Source organism: Homo sapiens, chromosome 2, assembly GCF_000001405.40.
Source record: "Homo sapiens chromosome 2, GRCh38.p14 Primary Assembly".
Lineage (NCBI taxonomy): Eukaryota > Metazoa > Chordata > Mammalia > Primates > Hominidae > Homo > Homo sapiens.
In genome coordinates this window covers 179,738,109-179,756,795 of record NC_000002.12, presented here as the reverse complement: position 1 = coordinate 179,756,795, position 18,687 = coordinate 179,738,109, and the positions used below count along the sequence as shown (strand labels likewise).

The 18,687-nt window shown below is 36.4% G+C and overlaps 1 protein-coding gene across 15 annotated transcripts in view; it reads left to right on the top strand.

The window, feature by feature from the left end:
• ZNF385B (zinc finger protein 385B) overlaps positions 1 to 18,687 on the top strand; it is a 419,631-nt gene that overhangs the window by 104,817 nt on the left and 296,127 nt on the right. For 4 of the 15 annotated variants that reach the window (NR_148059.1, NM_001352817.1, NM_001113397.2 and 1 more), the window contains exon 1: positions 10,286 to 11,083. The exons of 9 other annotated variants lie outside the window; for them this stretch is intronic. Coding sequence is in view for 2 of the 6 variants with exons in the window: in NM_001113397.2 (NP_001106868.1) it covers positions 11,059 to 11,083 (25 nt within the window). In the remaining 4 variants the exon portion in view is untranslated. Of the gene's footprint in view, positions 1 to 10,285; positions 11,084 to 11,129; positions 11,332 to 18,687 lie in introns of those variants that run through there. 2 more of the 15 variants (NM_001352809.2, NM_001352813.2) reach the window with 2 other exon arrangements.

Below are 18,687 nucleotides of genomic sequence, written 5' to 3'. Positions count from 1 at the left end.
GCATGAGAACTGCACAAGCCTCACTAGCCGATTCGATCAACTGGAAGAAAGGGTATCAGTCATTGAAGATCAAATGAATGAAATGAAGTGAGAAGTGTAGAGAAAAAAGAGTAAAAAGAAACAAACAAAGCCTCGAAGGTATATGGGACTAGGTGAAAAGACCAAATCTACGTTTGATTGGTGTACCTGAAAGTGATGGGGAGAATGGAAGCAAGTTGGAAAACACTCTTCAGGATATTATCCAGGAGAACTTCCCCAACCTAGCAAGGCAGGCCAACATTCAAATTCAGGAAATACAGAGAATGCCACAAAGATACTCCTTGAGAAGAGCAACTCCAAGACACATAATTGTCACATTCACCAAAGTTGAAATGAAGGAAAAAATGTTAAGGGCAGCCAGAGAGAAAGGTCGGGTTACCCACAAAGGAAGCCCATCAGACTAACAGCGGATCTCTTGGCAGAAACTCTACAAGCCAGAAGAGAGTGGGTGCCAATATTTGACATTCTTAAAGAAAAGAATTTTCAACCCAGAATTTCATATCCAGCCAAACTAAGCTTCATAAGTGAAGGAGAAATAAAATCCTTTACAGACAAGCAAATGCTGAGAGATTTTGTCACCACCAGGCCTGCCCTAAAAGAGCTCCTGAAGGAAGCACTAAACATGGAAAGGAACAACGGGTACCAGCCACTACAAAAACATGCCAAATTGTAAAGACCATTGAGGCTAGGAAGAAACTGCAAAAACATGCCAAATTGTAAAGACCACTGAGGCTGGGAAGAAACTGCATCAACTAATGAGCAAAATAACCAGCTAACATCATAATGACAGGATCAAATTCACACATAACAATATTAACCTTAAATGTAAATGGGCTAAATGCTCCAATTAAAAGACACAGACTAGCAAATTGGATAAAGATTCAAGACCTATCAGTGTGCTGTATTCAGGAGACCCATCTCACGTGCAGAGACACACATAGGCTCAAAATAAAGGGATGGAGGAAGATCTACCAAGCAAATGGAAAACAGAAAAAGGCAGGGGTTGCAATCCTAGTCTCCGATAAAACAGACTTTAAACCAACAAAGATCAAAAGAGACATAGAAGGCCATTACATAATGGTAAAGGGATCAATTCAACAAGAAGAGCTAACTCTCCTAAATATATATGCACCCAATACAGGAGCACCCACATTCATAAAGCAAGTCCTTAGAGACCTACAAAGAGACTTAGACTCCCACAAAATAATAATGAGAGACTTTAACACCCCACTGTCAACATTAGACACATCAATGAGACAGAAGGTTAACAAGGATATCCAGGACTTTGGCTCAGCTCTGCACCAAGCAGACCTAATAGACATCTACAGAACTCTCCTCCCCAAATCAACAGAATATACATTCTTCTCAGCACCACATTGCACTTATTCCAAAATTGACCACATAGTTGGAAGTAAAGCACTCCTCAGCAAATGTAAAAGAACAGAAATTATAACAAACTGTCTCTCAGACCACAGTGCAATCAAACTAGAATTCAGGATTAAGAAACTCACTCAAAACTACTCAACTACATGGAAACTGAACAACCTGCTCCTGAATGACTACTGGGTACATAATGAAATGAAGGCAGAAATAAAGATGTTCTTTGAAACCAATGAGAACAAAGACACAACATACCAGAATCTCTGGGACACATTTAAAGCAGTGTGTAGAGGGAAATTTATAGCACTAAATGCCCACAAGAGAAAGCAGGAAACATCTAAAATTGACACCCTAACATCACAATCGAAAGAACTAGAGAAGCAAGAGCAAACACATTCAAAAGCTAGCAGAAGGCAAGAAATAAGTAAGATCAGAGCAGAAGTGAAGGAGATAGAGACACAAAAAACCCTTCAAAAAACCAATGAATCCAAGAGCTGGTTTTTTGAAAAGATCAACAAAATTGATAGACCACTAGCAAGACTAATAAAGAAGAAAAGAGAGAAGAATCAAATAGACATAATAAAAAATGATAAAGGGGATATCACCACCGATCCCAAAGAAATACAAACTACCATCAGAGAATACTATAAACACCTGTATGCAAATAAACTAGAAAATCTAGAAGAAATGGATAAATTCCTGGACACATACACCCTCCCAAGACTAAACCAGGAAGAAGTTCAATCTCTGAAGAGACCAATAACAGGCTCTGAAATTGAGGCAATATTTAATAGCCTATCAACCAAAAAAAGTCCAGGACAGATGGATTTACAGCCAAATTCTACCAGAGGTACAAGGAGGAACTGGTACCATTCCTTCTGAAATTATTCCAATCAATAGAAAAAGAGGGAATCCTCCCTAACTCATTTTATGAGGACAGCATTATCCTGACAGCAAAGCCTGGTAGAGGCACAGCAAAAAAGAGAATTTTAGACCAATATCCCTGATGAATATCAATGCAAAAATCCTCAATAAAATACTGGCACACCGAATTCAGCAGCACATCAAAAAGCTTATCCACCATGATCAACTGGGCTTCATCCCTGGGATGCAAGGCTGGTTCAACATATGCAAATCAATAAATGTAATACAGCATATAAACAGAACCAAAGACAAAAACCACATGATTATCCCAGTAGATGCAGAAAAGGCCTTTGACAAAATTCGACAGCCCTTCATGCTAAAAACTCTCAATAAATTAGGTATTGATGGGACGTATCTGAAAATAATAAGAGCTATTTATGACAAACCCACAGCCAATATCATACTGAATGGGCAAAAACTGGAAGCATTCCCTTTGAAAACTGGCACAAGACAGGGATGCCCTCTCTCACCACTCCTATTCAACACAGTGTTGGAAGTTCTGGCCAGGGAAATCAGGCAGGAGAAAGAAATAAAGAGTATTCAATTAGGAAAAGAGGAAGTCAAATTGTCCCTGTTTGCAGATGACATGATTGTGTCTTTAGAAAACCCCATCGTCTCAGCCCAAAATCTCCTTAAGCTGATAAGCATCTTCAGCAAAGTCTCAGGATATAAAATCAATGTGCAAAAATCGCAAGCATTCTTATACACCAATAACAGACAGAGAGCCAAATCATGAGTGAACTCCCATTTACAATTGCTTCAAAGAAAATAAAATTCCTAGGAATCCATCTTAGAAGGGATGTGAAGGACCTCTTCAAGGAGAACTACAAACCACTGCTCAACGAAATGAAAGAGGAAACAAACAAATGGAAGAATTCCATGGTCATGGATAGGAATAATAAATATCGTGACAATGGCCATAAAGCCCAAGGTAATTTATAGATTTAATGCTATCCCTATCAAGCTACCAGTGACTTTCTTCACAGAATTGGAAAAAACTACTTTAAAGTTCATATGGAACCAAAAAAGAGCCCACATTGCCAAGACAATCCTAAGCCAAAAGAGCAAAGCTGGAGGCATCACGCTACCTGACTTCAAACTATACTACAAGGCCACAGTAACCAAAACAGCATGGTACTGGTACCAAAACAGAGATATATATAGACCAATGGAACAGAACAGAGCCCTCAGAAATAATACAACACATTTACAACTATCTGATCTTTGACAAACCTGACAAAAACAAGAAATGGGGAAATGATTCCCTATTTAACAAATGGTGCTGGGCAAATTGGCTAACCATATGTAGAAAGCTGAAACTAGATCCCTTCCTTACACCTTATACAAAAATTAATTCAAGATAGATTAAAGACTTAAATGTTAGACCTAAAACCATAAAAACCCTAGAAGAAAACCTAGGCAATACCATTCAGGACATAGGCTTGGGCAAAGACTTCATGACTAAAACACCAAAAGCAATGGCAACAAAAGCCAGAATTGACAAATGGGATCTAATTAAACTAAAGAGCTTCTGCACAGCAAAAGAAACTACCATCAGAGTGAATAGGCAACCCACAGAATGGGAGAAAATTTTTGCAATCTACTCATCTGACAAAGGGCTAATATCCAGAATCTACAAAGAACTCCCAACAAATTTACAAGAAAAAAACAAACAACCCCATCACAAAGTGGGTGAAGTATATGAACAGACACTTCTCAAAAGAAGACAATTATGCAGCCAGACAAATGAAAAAATGCTCATCATCACTGGACATCAGAGAAATGCAAATCAAAACCACAATGAGATACCATCTCACACCAGTTAGAATGGCGATCATTAAAAAGTCAGGAAACAACAGGTGCTGGAGAGGATGTGGAGAAACAGGAACACTTTTACACTGTTGGTGGGACTGTAAACTAGTTCAACCATTGTGGAAGATAGTGTGGCAATTCCTCAAGGATCTAGAACTAGAAATACCATTTGACCCAGCTATCCCATTACTGGGTATATACCCAAAGGATTATAAATCCTGCTGCTATAAAGGCACATGCACACATATGTTTATTGTGGCACTATTCACAATAGCAAAGACTTGGAACCAACCCAAATGTCCATCAATGATAGACTGGATTAAGAAAATGTGGCATATATACACCATGGAATACTATGCAGCCATAAAAAATGATGAGTTCACGTCCTTTGAAGGGACATGGATGAAGCTGGAAACCATCATTCTCAGCAAACTATCACATGGACAAAAAAGCAAACACCACGTGTTCTCACTCATAGGTGGGAATTGAACAATGAGAACACTTGGACACAGGAAGGGGAACATCACACACCGGGGCCTGTCGTGGGGTGGGGAGAGGGGGAGGGATAACATTAGGAGATATACCTAATGTAAATGACGAGTTAATGGGTGCAGCACACGAACATGGCACATGTATACATATGTAAGAAACCTGCACGTTGTGCACATGTGCCCTAGAACTTAAAGTATAATAATAAAAAGAAACTAAAATTCAATTAGTAAATAAATTAAAAAAAGAGATTTTAAAATGAGCTTGAGTAGATTTTAAAGTCAGGACATTTTGGATGGGGGAGAAGATAAGGGTAATAAAACCTGGGTATTTTGCAGCAGGAAGTGGAGTAGTAGTTTGGATGTGGGAATGGACAGCAGGATTGGAAAATGGGTTGTCAGTTGGAGTGTTATACATAATTTTATTTTTTTCTTGCTGCTATAGTCTGTACTGTTCTTTGACGCCCCCAGGATCCTCTGTTATTGTTTTCCCCGTCTCCCTTAAAGATTTCTTAATTTCATTCCTATTCTACATTCAAGAAACAGTTATTGGTATTAAATGGCTTCTGGGGTCAGGACATTAATGATAGGTATTATAACTCTTAAAATATGTGTGTAGGGTTTTAAATACATAGGCCAGATTTATCACATTGCATCTCATGCATATTTAAAATGTTAAATTTATCCTCAAATATGTTTTCCCAGAAATTTTTGAAGAACTTTAAAAATTAAACTTGAAAACGCGATACCACAGAATTACCACAAGATGGTGCCATGAGTATATTGAAAGTATGATAGTTTCTTCACTCCCTTGCCCACATCAATATTCTGATGGAACTTATTATTAATGAGTATGGAAAGCAAGAAATACCACACCAAGGAGTGAGGATGTGTGGACATGCATGTGTGGGCAGGATCATGCTCATTTGAAAGACTGAGCACCTTGTATGCAGTAGGCAGAATCTGTAGGGGAGACATGGCAGGGGGTGGGGAGGGTGGGAAGAGCAGGAGAGATCTTTCTTTAGTTTTCAGGAATAAAAATTACTACTTAAATATATTAATATTGTCCATGTCTGGAAAAAATCTCCATTTTAAGAGATATCAGGAATGAACATTAATTTTAAATGATGCAACCTTTGGTTTGCATGACAGATTTAGAGACAAGGCTAGAATGCATCAGTATGATAATGTATTTTACCTTTTCAGTAGAAACACATAGTTTTAAATGCTTGCTTTCACTTAATTTTTGATGAATCAACTTGCCATTTATCATTCAACCAAAATATCTGACTTTTGCAAATATAATTACCATGGTGAATGTATAACAAATCATTGCGTTTCTACCAGTAAGTGCACTAGATAAGTAAATCATTTCAGTGTGAGGTAGGTGGGTTAAAGTATTTACAATATACTTATTTCTTTAAACCTCTTAATTAGTAAGTTCAGAAAACTCGTTTCATAGAATAATTATTATACAATCCATGTATTGGATAGAGCCCATATGACTTATGGTTTTTAGTGAAGGGACAGACTTAGAAGGGGAAAAGGCCTTGGTCAAAATATGTCAGATTACACCTTTGAAAATAGGGCATCCGCTTTTCTTTGTATAAGTCACAGGTCCTTATAAGAGCACTCAGGAATTGTCTCTCACTTGTAGTACTTCAGACCTGGTGATGATACATATAGTAGAAGGAATACTGATATACTTTTCTAAGTCATTGTCTTACTGAGAATTGATCACTGTTTAGTTTCCAAGTATTTTACAAAATCCTGACTCTATTCTTCAAAGCAAGGATAAGAGTTGGTACCCTTTATCTGTTCTCCCCAGATAAATTTAATTGAGACTGATATTGTAGGGTTTATTGAGATTGAAGTTCCTTGGGAATGAGAGTAGAGAATTTTGGAAATAGGATGAAGTCTCAAGTTACAACTCTAACCACCTCCTGCTGCACAAATGCTTTGAATTTGAGACAGAGCTCCAGCCGTTTTCAATGGTGTCAGAAATCTAAAACTATACCTGACATAGACTTGGCAAAGTCATTATAGAACATCTCCATATTCTGTACATGTGGTTAAAAACTGTCAAACAAGGGTGTGGATTATACAAGTGTGTGGATTAAGTACAGAACTCTAAGGGATTGATACATAAAAGAGTTTGAATGGAAGTTTGATAAAATGATTAAAAGGAGTGGTTGACCCTTTTTTAGTGAAGGACGGATTATCTTTTTCTTTAAGAATGCTTCTGAATATAAACTTTTACATATTATATGTATTAAAAGATAAGAGTTGCTTAATATTAAGTCTTGGTTTTTAGATTTTGAAAACCAAATACACCTTTCAGTGTGGAAACTGAGTCTTAGACAATCATGGCAAGTGTTTACATGTCTGAGTGATTTAAATCATCAAAGGCATATTTAAAACCTTGGTGTCTGCCTGGAATAGAAGTGTTACCCATTTTAAACTAATCTGGGGAGAAGGGTTTTCAGTAGTGAGCCAAGCCCAGTGGTAATTAGTGAGTTCAATTTCCACTGGGGGGATGAATGTATTTTCACTTGGACTGACCAGCTTTCTTCACACAGACATTTGACTTTCACATCTTAACAGTGTTACAGCCAAGGAGGCTGTTGGACAGTGTTCTGGGTTAGACATCCCTCTGGAATGTTACAGCTGACCATATGGTTGGTATATGTCCTTGGCACCTAATGGTTTTTCTCGAGCTGGTTTTTGGGCCAGCTGTGAAACATATTTGCTCTTCTGATTACATGGAGTTTGGAGGAGGTGGAAGGGCTGGATATTGTACTTTTTAATGGGCAGAGTGTGCTGGCACTCACACATAATGTTAACACACTTCATTTCAAGAGCTTGCCCTCTGGTGAGCCTGCACTGCAATCCAGAGACTGTTGTCCTGTAGACACTGAGTATTTATCTATTATTTAATGGACTTGATGTGAAAGGTATAGGGAGCTTTTTTTTTAAATCATAGCCCTGAAGTGTTACTCATCTTATAGGATAGTAAGTTACTTTTGGAAGCTGCTGTAACTCCATCAAACCTTCAGGGCACCATTTTGGTTGCTAAAAAAAAGAAGAATTCACCAAATTATGTTGTATTGTCAAAAAAATAAATGCAGTTTCCTTCTTCAGATAGAAAATGACTTTGTGATTGTGTTCTAGATACTAAGAGCCACACATTCCAGTCTAGTTTGTTCAGTGAATAGAAAGACCCCTCTTCACATAAATGCCACCTGGACACTTCCCCAGTGCAGGTCTAGGCCCCAAAAGGCACCCAGGAAATGCTCTTTGAAGACAGCGGATGTTCTATTGACCCAAAATCTTAAGTGTAGTGTCAATGCTCTGCTATATTAAAGTTCTTTAATGTACTGAAAGAAAAGTATTTATTTGGGAAGTGTAGTCATAAGAAAGACTCCAAGCAAATGCAACACATTATTCTTGTTTTTTGAGAACATTTGTTTTTAAAATGGATTTTAAAACTAAACAGTTGGCTCTTGATGGCAGAAAATATTGCTACTTTTTTCTAAAACTGATTTTAAAGAACCTCTATTGCAAGTAGTTTATAGCATATACAAATAAAACAGAAATCTTTACTTCATAAGGCAAAGGTTATTTTTTTGTTTGTGTCTGACAGTGTCACATGCACTGTTTAACATTATGGATATTTTGCTTTTGGGTACAATGAGAAGAGGGTGAGATAACCCAATGTTTTGCCTCCCTCTGAAATACATGTGTCCTTTTAAAATTTCCTTTTGAAAATTAAGGTAGGTTGCTAAAAAAATACTTATGTCAAGTGCCTTTCACACTAGTGGGTATAGAGTTTAGGTGATCAATGAGTACTATTATTATTATGTTTTGTATTTTTTTTTGATTCAGTCATTTTAAGTGGCTTCTTCTTGCCTATCTTTTCCATGTCCTAGTTTTGTCATCGTGCATTATTGCCACATATCTGCTCTGCTTTGTGTCTCATTCTTAACAGCACCTTCCCTCATATTTTTGCCCATCCATTAAAGTAACACTACCCTCCAGATTTCTTGCCTAAGCAAGAGAACATCTGCTTAGGTACCATTTCCCAATCCATAACTTTCTAGCAGTTTAGGTAAACATTTATACAGTCCACAATCTCTTACTTGCAATTTCCGAAATCCAAGAAGCAGTGAGAACTGGAAGATTTTATAATTCATATTGATGGGAAAACGTGACATGAACTAATGTGAGCTTAAATTATAGCATTTATTTATCCCAATGAGTATGAATATGCACAGGTTTTGCTATAGAATGTTAATGTGTCTGATTATAGAGTTGTTGCCCCAGACCCCAGTGCGGCATTATATAACATCTGCCACTGGAGGCATTATATAATTCCTGGCATACGTAGAGTATTACCTTTCTAAAATCTGAAAACGTTTGAATTCTGAAATGCATCAAGCCCGAAGGGTTTTAGATAAGGGATTGGCGTATAATCAAATATCCTGGTTTAATTTTAAACTTTTATCTTATTACTAGGGAGCTTCATGTGTGGTAATAATAAAAAGATTTTTAGGCATACAATCTCTCATGAACTATTCCTATGACTATTTTCGAAGGAAAGTTTATGTGTGTGTTGGGTGAGGCAGAGAGGACAGAAGAGAGAGAGGACACTGAACAATTGCAAAGTCAATGATGCCCAATGCCTTTTCTCATAATACATTCAAATGTTGCCCTAGGGGCTTCAGGTGACAAATAGAATTCAGGTGGCAAAAGTGACTGTGAGGGGCAATTGTGTTCAATGGCATAGGTATATGTATACGCACACGCATGTGCATATCCAATCGTGTGTCTAATCTGTCTCCAAGCAAGGGCATCTAACCAGCAGCCCGTAAGGAGTCAACTTTCCATATGGGGACATAGTGAGAATGCCCATGAGAGTGCTGTGTTTAATGTTGCTCCAGAATGCTGTGTTACGTAAATGTGTGCTGCTTAGTTTTACACAGATGTTTCATATTGTAGACACTTCTAAATGTGTCATCTCAGAGCTGGTAGGATTACTAGAACTGAACCCAGTCATTTATAGGAGATCCTCAAATCAGGAATTGCCTTTACTGGATTCTAGTTTGTCTGGCCTTCAGAGTCTCAATGAGAACCTAAAACCCTTTTTAAAAAATTGAATAGAACCTTAAATGTGTTGTCAATGTTGCCTCCTAGGAATTTCTTCCAGTTTACTTTTGTGATTTTTAATAAACATTTTATTTCTTTTTTGCTTTGCAGTTTGCATGCACATGTCAAATCTGTATATTTTGTGATCTCAAAGCACTGCTACTGCTTTCTGGGGTATATGTATTTCTGGGGTATATCTAATACTGCTTTCTGACCTTGTGTCTTCTAAAGACGATGTCCAGTAGCTCTTGCATCTTATATTTTAGTAACAAAACAGAAAGGATTATAAAAAGCAAAAGTATAAATTTGGGGGTAGTTGGGATAAAAATACATGGGTTTAATGAACTATAGATTTTTTAAAATAATGAGCAAAGATTATAGTGTTAAAATATCTATCTTGCATGTTTATTGTTACACAGAATAGATTTAAATCTCTATTGTTTATGAAATTATCTTAGAATAAAATTGATGGTATTTTGTCCTGGTGCTAGCATAGCATCGCACATTTTTAACTATCACCATTATTTTAATTTAGAGATGGGCACTTAGGAGTTAAAGGATGTTTGATTTGCCCTTTAATGGACATCTATGTCAAATATATGGAATTATTTTTGTTATAATTGTCATAGTCTCCAGTGATTTCATTTGTCTATAGCGAAGTCCCAGGAACCTACAGCTATTTTGATTTATGCAGCCTTTATAAGTCCTCGTAATATAGACTACTGATTTCTTCCCTGTATCCTGCTCATTGTTGAAAAGCCAGAGCTATTTTTAACATTTACACAATTTCAATAGATGATTCTTTATTCCACAAGGTTTGGTGCTAAATCTGTGGAGACTTTCATAATCACATCCTTCTTGTGGTTTGCTTGAATTTGATCACAGTGGCTGATTTCATGCATTGATAATGAAGGCTTAGGTTGCCTGTTTCTCAGCATAAATCCACCTCAGACTTGTACATTGACAGTGCTTCTGGTTTCAGCACACATGGAGATATAGAATTGAAATTGCTCTGCTTTCTTTACAAATGACTCAGAGTGTGCTTGTCCTTCCCTAAAATGTTGCCAGCATGTAAAGGATTTTCAATGAGCAGTGCAATAAGCCAGCAACTGGGAAGGCTTGGAGCGGCACTGATATAACGTGGTGCTGTCACACAGATAATCAGGGCTGGAGCCAAGTCTCGGTAGCGCTGTGCATTATCCTGGTCACATACTGGAAGTTTTGTTTATCCAACTTGGTTGCTCTTGAAGCTGGTGAGAGCCCTGCCAGGATGTGGAGTGGACTTCCTAGCAGAGGTGAGCGTTTTTATTCTAAAACTTGGATGCTGGGGTCTGGGATGTCAGTAACAGATTCTTTTGTATGTTATGCTGAATCCTGTGGAGTCCTCAATTGTGTTTATCACATTGTGCTGACACATCTGAAGGAGCAAAGCTGAAGAGCAAAATATATGATTCTTTAATTTTGTTGCGAAGTAACTCCTTACATGGGTGTGATAACCATCCCTTTCTTTCTGTGCTAGCTGTTTGCCGAGGACATCTTACCAGTAGGTGACTTCCTTTGCATTTTAAACATTCTGAACAAGTCAGTGATATTATGCAATTTGCTACCATTACTGAAAGTAGGTAATTAGCAGTGTTATTATGTGTTTCAGATGTTATTAAAAAGGCTATAAACAAAATGTACTTTGTAGAATCTTTGACATGAAAGACAGATAGGAGGAGACAAGTCATGTTTCGAGATAACTAAGAAAGTAAGTGATGTGGATTACATACTGGAGTTGACAACTTGTGAAGCTAGACATTATTAATAATTAAAAGTTATGACCGGTCATGTACTGGACAACCAACAGTAATTAATTTCTAACGACTGTGTGCCGAATGAGAATGGGAGGAAATTAACAGTATTTCTTCATGAAGTGTGTTCTTATTAGCTGAGATGCTTTAAATGTAGCAGATTGTATCATTTAAATATAAATAAAATACCTGTGCTCACCTGGAGAGGTTAAATTACTAGATCATCATGCTTGGAAAGGTTTGATGTAGCCTTGTAAGTATATGGTATTTGAAAGCCAACTAGATAAGGGCAGACACAAAGTTAGCCTCCAAGTAGATGGAGTGCTATTGCTTAGGCTTGGCTAAACTCTAATTCTGGTGTTTCTAAGCATGAATGGAGTGTGAGGGTTATAATGTATTAAATAGCATTGTGCTTATTAAGTGTCTGTTTAGTATATTAGGTTGGCAGGGGAATCTATTTTTCTTTGATTGGAAGCAGCTAGCATGGCACATGGGGTGTGTATGTATATAAGTGTATGTGTTTTTCCTGCTATATTTATTTGAGGCAGCTGTTTTATAGCTTTCAGCTTTAAAGTTATAGCTAAGTGTGTATTTGTTTGATAGAAGGCTCGAGAACCTCTTTTACTGCCAGTACACGTAAAGCTTGGCTAAGCAGACGCATCAGGAGCAAACCATTTGTGTTCACCAATCTGTCTCGGCAAGTCCCAGGGCCACTATCTTGCTAGAAGCCACTGTGTGCTTTTGAAAGCATGAAATTAGTTTTATACTGAGCACATGGTTTCTCGTTTAGCAGCTCTTTTTATGGTAATGGTCAATTTATGGTTCACTGCCAGGATTTCGGTGTACTGTCAAAGCCGATAGCTTCTGCTAAGGCGTCTCTATGATTTAAAAAAAAAAAAAAATGGAGAGATGGGAAGAACCTAATTAGACCCTCAAGAATAGACTCTTACCTTCAACCTCATCTGTGCTCTAGATGCATTGTCATTTCTCTCAAGTTCCTTTATATTGTTTAATCCAGGACCTACAGATTTAAAGTTGCTAATATCTGCCACTTTGTCCTTTGCTAACATGTGACATCCAAATAGTTATGTTCTGAAATGTGAAGTATTTATTTTTTGCAATACATTTGTAGAAAACCACTCTATTAATGTTGGCCATATTATGCAATTCATCATTACACTTATCTGCTTGCCTGGTAATGCATCCTAGAGCACTGTTGGAGAGAGGGAAAGGCTTTAATACATCTTATATTTGATATAAGCGATTTGTACTTAGTTGTACGTGTATGTGCTATGAGTACGGCGAGTTAAATAATGAAATTAAAACAACCTGTAGATACATTGGAAATTTGACCCAAAAAATGCCTTCTTTCATGCAATCATCTCATTTAGAAAAGCAAAAGCTCTCAAATGCTAAAATGATATTAATATTAAATACAGTTTTTGTTTGTTTCCACATAATAAAAATGAAATGCATTTGTCAATGTGCTAAGAATGCTTTCCTTAACCTTCTCTTTCTATCAGAAGATAACCCTGGTTGAATAATGCATTTTGAAATAGAGGTGATCAAAATTACCAGGACATTTAGTGGAGTATTTATTTTTGTGCTGATTCTTTGCATTGTGGTAATGGATATGCAGGTGGAATAGAGTACATATTTGGATGTTGCTATTATACTTTTTCCCTCATGTGGTCTTGACAAGGGAACTGAAAACACTTCATAAATCCTGAATTTCATGATTTTTTTCTTGTTAATTATTAGATCTTTGCCTGGGTTAAGTGATTACACATGTAAAGAGTCAAGATAAAATATTATTGAAATACAGAGTGTAATATGTGCCATTATAATTAGAAAACAATTTTGTGTTTTTAGATGAAGCAAAATGTGAAACTTTTTTTTCTTCTTTTGGGAATGTTATGTCACAAATCATCATCAGATTGTCAGGGGGACTCAGTTTTAGATTTTGACTTACAAATAAATATCTCATATTTATTAATTCCCCAAAGCCCATGAAACAAATTGAATTTGTGGGTTGAGAATTAGAAACTTAGAGGGCATTGACATTTTCTCTTTGAAATTCCTGATGATATAACATGTTTAATAAATGAAAATCTTTTTAAAAAAGTTTTAGAATGTTAGAATTCTCTTAGAATAGTGACATTTGTCGTATTACATAGAACATAGGACATTCACTCAGAAGAAAGAAGGGATTAATTTGGCATATCTGCCTGAAGTCTTAGTAGCAATTTCTCCTTCAGAAGTAGTAGGATTTATGAAATCATGAGGATATAAATCTCAGTGATTTGCCTGCATCTTTTCACTTTTGTATTAAGGTATAGCATCTTGAATTATTCTTCAGCAGTTCTTAAAAATGACTAGTTACAAAAAATAGCAGATACAAACCTGTTTTAGTTGAGAAACATGATTGCAAAATGAAAGTACTATCCAAATTTGGCTTTCCTGATTGTATAAATCCAACAATAATTTGGGCAATTTATAGAGTTTGTACTTTCTTTTGAGGTATGTTGCTAAGATGAGTATACTTTAGTGAGAAAGTTGCTTCTTACCTTAAAGCTTTATTTACTTTCAGTCTTTTCACTTACTTTTTTTCCTACTTCCTATTAATGAACTAGGAACTTCAAGTTTTAGGGTTTCCAGATTTAGTATATAAAAATATCGAACTCTGAGTTAAATTTGAATTTTAGCTAAAACAATAAATAATATTTTAGTATATATCCAATGCAATATTTGGGACATACTTAATATTGAAAATTGTTAGTTGTTTAGCTGAAATTCAACTTGGACTAAGTGTCTTGTATTGCATCTGGAAACTCTACCTACTTTCTAAATAAAAAAGTGAGTCTCCAGTAATGGCCTAGAAAATTGGTTTTACCAGTGCCAAAATGGAGGCTGCACATTCCTGTAAAAGTGATCAGTTTTAACTGTTAGGGTTTATGCCTGAAAACTCCTAGGGAAAGAAAGTTACTATCTGAGAAACTTAAAATGGTGTCAAGAAATAAAGGACTGATGGAATCTAAATTACAAATAATAAATGAAAGCCTTCTATAATTACTAGTATAATAAAGGCAGCACATTAAATAAGTATCAGTAACATTTTGAATAATTAATGAGTATTATACAATTAATTTCTAATTGTCATCCCTTGTCAACTAGAATATTTTCGGGATTTTCCTTCTTTAGCAGGTTTGAGATACTTATTAATTCATTTTGTTTTGTTGTAGTTAAGATGCGTAATGTCAGGTGCCTCTTTCAATGCCTTCTCCCCTACCCGTTCATCTGGCCTTTATTTAAATATTTGTTACCCTTTTGATTTTAGGACTTAGTTCTGACTGCCACCCACTAGATTTCTCCGAGAGGCAGAGTAACTTGCAAACTTGACCTAGAAGAAAATCTTTGGAATCCTTTAATTATTCCATTTACCATAGCTGAATAAAATAGAATAGATACAATATTTATTATATACCTACTGTGTGCCTCATATGATGTCAAAATATTTATAGGTAGATTTTTATTGAATTCTTTTAACAACTTTATAACATATTAATATAATATTAATTGTGCACATGCTCAGCTGTTTACCAAAACTCCATTCCCACACCCAAGCTATCCCAATTTTAACCACACTGGAACAGAACAGAATGTTCTATCCTGGATCTGAATGTTACTCTTAGATATTGGGCAACCTCCCTGTGGAATAAAGGGTCCTTTGCTGAGAGTGTTCATGTCACTTCAGGCCATATTGCAAAATCCCCTTTGCCCACTCAGCTTCTGTATTACCTTTCTTCTCTTTTCTCACTTACTAATATTCCCCTCCTCCTTTTTGTTAATATCCTTAACAGTCAAAACTAGACATCAGTGTATAATTTGATTCTCAAAATGAGAAAAAAAATCACAGAAGTGAACCACATGTACTATAACAGAATGTGGTGTTAGGAGAACCTGCAGTTGATTAACAAATAATATGGACAACATATTTGGAGTAATTTCTTAAACCTAACCTTTCTGTTTCCAGTCTAAAATGCCACCTCAGTTCTCTGTCAGTTATGCAACATTCAAACCAGGAACCTGTTTTGAGCCTGAATTGATCAGTTGAATGTGAGTGCCATTAACCCAAGTTTTGGAAATGGATTAAGTCTACCATCCCAAGAAAGTACTTCTTACAAAACCATATCTTCTTTGAATTAAATGTTACTCCCACCAAATAATCTAGTTCATTTTTCAGTGTCTATTGCCCTAGTGGACAAATTCCTGTTTTCTTCCCTTTTTTTCTTGTCTGTTAACACTATACCCTTATTTCAATCTGATCATTTTAAATCTCTCAAGATATTTTTTGCCTCCACTCATCAATCTGTTTCCCACTTTTGACTAGTCATAAACGTTATTGTGTTATGCGTTACTTCTTCTACTAGTTTAAACTGATGTTGGTGGCCTTTTCTTGTATTTAAACTATGCTCTTTAGGAAAAGATTCTGATCCCTTTTTACCTTAAATAGTCTACTCCCGTCCCCATGTTGGCATCAATGTCCTCCTACTTACTTCAGTCCTATTTGGTTGTGTGACGTGTTTGTTATCGCAAAATACCAATGTGAATCCATAATCTAAATTTCAATCCCTAAAGATCTTCCAACAACGTTTGTCCTCAAATTTTTGGAAAAGGTGCTGAAAGGTAAGTTAAAGTTCCTAATTTGAAGAATTCTATTTCTTTTAATTTCTTAAAAGGTGATGCTGGTCAATAGCTATCTTTTCTTGGCAAATGGCAATTGAATGACAAAAAGATGCCTCCCCCAGGGAACACCTAGACTGTCAGAGATGAGGAGCCCTCTGTCCCTGACTTCTTCCAGGGACTCTGAAATGCCACTGGGACATTTAGCAAATCATCTTTTTGCTCACATTTCAAATTTGATGTGTGAATTTCACTTGGAGATCTATAGTACTGCCAGTTTTCTGTTTCTCTGATTCATTTTCCATTAGTGGTGGTTTTTAAGCAGACAATGGAAGAAATGACTTTACATCTAGAACTCTCCCTTCCTTCCAGCAAGTTAAAGGGGAATTTCTTTACTCAGGATTCTTGGGTGCTGGGAGAGGGCAGGCTACATTTTGAAGAAATTTCAAAATATCCAGGAGTAAGCAGATTCAGAAATGAATCTGTAAGGGCTTCTTTTTCTGTCATTTTTCCATACTTTCTGTATTTTTTATTATTGCACAATGGGTAATAGTATAGTTATAATAAATTAGTTAACTCTTAATCTAGGAGCTTTTGGATTTTGTGTAATTTAAGTACGTAGCTACTTTTGTGTGATTTAGTAAGGTAAGCAATGAATACCACTCTTGCAGTAGTTAGAAATCCTGTAATGGGCTCTGAATCATGCTTTAATGGGGGTAAGGAGAAAATGGGTATGGCTTGGAAATGATCTCTGATGCTTATCACTTGCTTCAGCTACAACTGATTTAACCAGCAATAACCAAAAGTTTGATTAAGCTATACTAATACTCCAGGGTTGGTAAATTTTGTGCCAGCCACCATGATCATACGATTAACCCAAACTAATAAAATCTGGTGAAAAGCGTGTTTAAGGTAAACCTACAGTAAAGCTAAACTCCGTCTAAGCTGTAAAAAGCTTCAACTGAAGTAAAAATAAACTACAAAAGTGACTTTAACACCCTGAAAACACGATAGCTAAGACTCAAACTGGGATTAGATACCCCACTATGCTTAGTTCTAAACCCAAATAGTTCAACCAACAAAACTATTCACCAGAGTACTACAAGCAACAGCTTAAGACTCAAAAGACTTGGCAGTGCTTTATATCCCTCTAGAGGAGCCTGTTCTATAATCGATAAACCCCGAGGTACCTCATCATCTCTCACCACTCAGCCTATATACCGCATCAGATCAGCTCTCCAGCAGCAAATATTATCATTGTCCTTTTAAAATGGAGTGGATGCAATAAATGGTGTATAATGAGACTTAATAATAACAGGAATGATAGTTGACTTTCAAGCTAACCATATGCAAGACGTTTTATATGTATAAACTCATTTAATCTTTACAACAATCCTATAGGTAAGCATTAGGGAAACTGAAGTACAGAGAGATTAAGGTACCTTCCCAAAGTAATCTAGCTAGCTCAGCTGAGATTTGAATTTGCAGTGGTGGTGGAATCCATGCTTTTAACCAGTGCCCTAGACTAGTTCTCTGTGAGATATTTAACAAAGTCTTTGTTGATATTATTTTGTGAACAAAGTAGAAAACTCTGGACTGAATGACAGTGTAATTTCGTGGATTTGTAACTGGTTGAATATCTATACCTAAAATCTACCTGGCCAATATTAACTTAAGGGAAGGCTCCAGGACTCTGCAATGACTTGGTGAGAACATTGATGACTTAGCCATTAAATCTGTAGATGTTATCAAACTGGGATAATACATATATAGGAAGACACAATTGATGTAAATCCTGAGCCACCTCCCACACTAAATAAATTAGAATTTCTGCAGCTGCTATCTAGGAATCAGTATTTTTAAAGCTCCCAACGTGATTCTAATGTGCAGCCTCAGTTAAAACCACTATTCTAGAAAAGTGGCCCAACTCCAACATGATCAGTTTCAACTAACAGTAAGTGGAGGAAGTAGTGAAAAACGATGTAGGAATATTGATAAAATGTAAACTCATCATATGAGTCAAAAGCGTGATATGATTGTTTCACACAATCTTAGTGGTCTCTTAGATGGGAATTGTAGAAATAGAGTATCTATAACAATGAAGGTTGGAGTCCTGCTCTTTGCTCAGCTGGGCAGGAGCGTGCCTGGAGTTTGGGTGAAATGCAGAGGAGGGCCTTAGGTGTTTTCATTTGAAGGTGACCAGCCTGGTCAAGGTGCACTGAGTACCTTATCAAGGGGAAGAGATTATCAGGGGACTTATTTTATGTAACATTCGAATTATATTTTTTCAATAAAGCTCTTGGGTAAAATTAATGTCAGTAGACAGAGTTTTCAAGAAGAAAGATTTTTGCTTGATATAAAGAACTTCCCAATAGAGCAGTCTGAAGATGAAGGCGTTCCTTTTTTCTTTGGACATGGTACAG